The 1,244-nt window shown below is 49.9% G+C and overlaps 1 annotated feature.

The window, feature by feature from the left end:
* Positions 1-295: an enhancer, noted in NCBI's record as "tiled region #7361; HepG2 Activating non-DNase unmatched - State 4:PromP, and K562 Activating DNase unmatched - State 8:EnhW". NCBI's record gives its function as "activates a minimal TATA promoter and a strong SV40 promoter by Sharpr-MPRA in HepG2 and K562 cells {active_cell/tissue: HepG2 | K562}" and the evidence as "EXISTENCE:reporter gene assay evidence [ECO:0000049][PMID:27701403]".

Raw genomic sequence — 1,244 nt, 5'->3', positions numbered from 1 at the left:
TCTGACTTCCTTAGGGTGTAGCTTCCCCCTGAGAGTCCACCCTGTCTCCTGCCAGCCAGCAGGGAGAGGAGAAGGGGACAACAGGGCACAAAACTTCCTTCCTCTAAAGGCAGCCGCTGTGCACAGGCCTCGCCTCCCCATTGGCCACAGCCTGGTCACATGGCCACTGCTTGCTGCAAGGGATGCTGGGAAGTGTAGTCTTCATCCTGGATGCCAGTGCCCACATGGGTCCCTCCTGAGGCCGAGGGGAGAGAGGACATGGGAGAGAGTTTCTGGTCTCCCCCGCCCTGGGGTCAGGGTTGACTCCCCGGGTGATGGTTGTTCTTGTGTGTTGACTGCGTCTACACATCAGTTCCACTATATTGTGTGTCTGTTCTGGTGAGGTCTGGATGCCTCCAGGCCTGAGCAGGAGAAACCAGCAACAGGATTTGTTTTGTTTTGCTGAATCTAGGATCACATTGTTGCAGGAAGTAGCTGGCAGCTAATGATGGCTGTTGCTGGGGGATCTGCTGGCCTGTAAACCAGGGTGTTCATGTGGCTGCTTGGGCTTCCTTTCAACATGGCTGCCTCTGAGCAGTTGTACTTCTCATGTGCCAGTGGACTTCGAAGACACAGGAAGTAGCAGTCTCCAGGCCAGTTTAGCAGTTTCCAGCAGTTTCCAGGCCACTCCCGAACTGGCACAGCATCCCTTCCACTGTATTCAATTGGCCAAAGTATAACAGTAAAACAGTAGAACTAACATAACTCACTCCGTTTGTGTTCAAGGGGCCTTTACCCATCCTGCACGTAGGCTAGGATAATTTCGGAGCACTGAGATAATATGGAAAAACAGTAATCATGTAGTTTTAAAAACTAACTCTGAGGTTGAAAGTATATAAACAACTAACAATATTTTATTAAATATGTGTAAAAGCATTGCGACCTGACTAAGGACAAAGAAGTTCCCAACCTCCTCAGACTTGCTGGTGCCCAGATGTCTGAGATGTCTGTGCTCATAGGCCACTTCTTTTTTTTTTTTTTTTTTTTTTGACAAGGTCTATCACCCAGGCTGGAGTGCAGTGGTGCCATCTCGGCTCACTGCAACCTCCACCTCCTGGGCTCAAGTCATCCTCCAACCTCAGCCTTCTGAGTAGCTGGGACTACAGGTGCACACCACCATGCTAGGCTAATTTTTGTATTTTTTGTAGAGACAGGGTTTTACCATGTTGCCCAGGCTGGTCTCGAACTTGTGAGCTCAAGTGGTC

The sequence above is a fragment of the Homo sapiens genome, chromosome 9 (genome assembly GCF_000001405.40).
Source record: "Homo sapiens chromosome 9, GRCh38.p14 Primary Assembly".
NCBI classification, from domain to species: Eukaryota; Metazoa; Chordata; class Mammalia; order Primates; family Hominidae; genus Homo; species Homo sapiens.
Note: the sequence above shows the minus strand (reverse complement) of the source record. Positions and strands in the feature narration are given on the sequence as shown.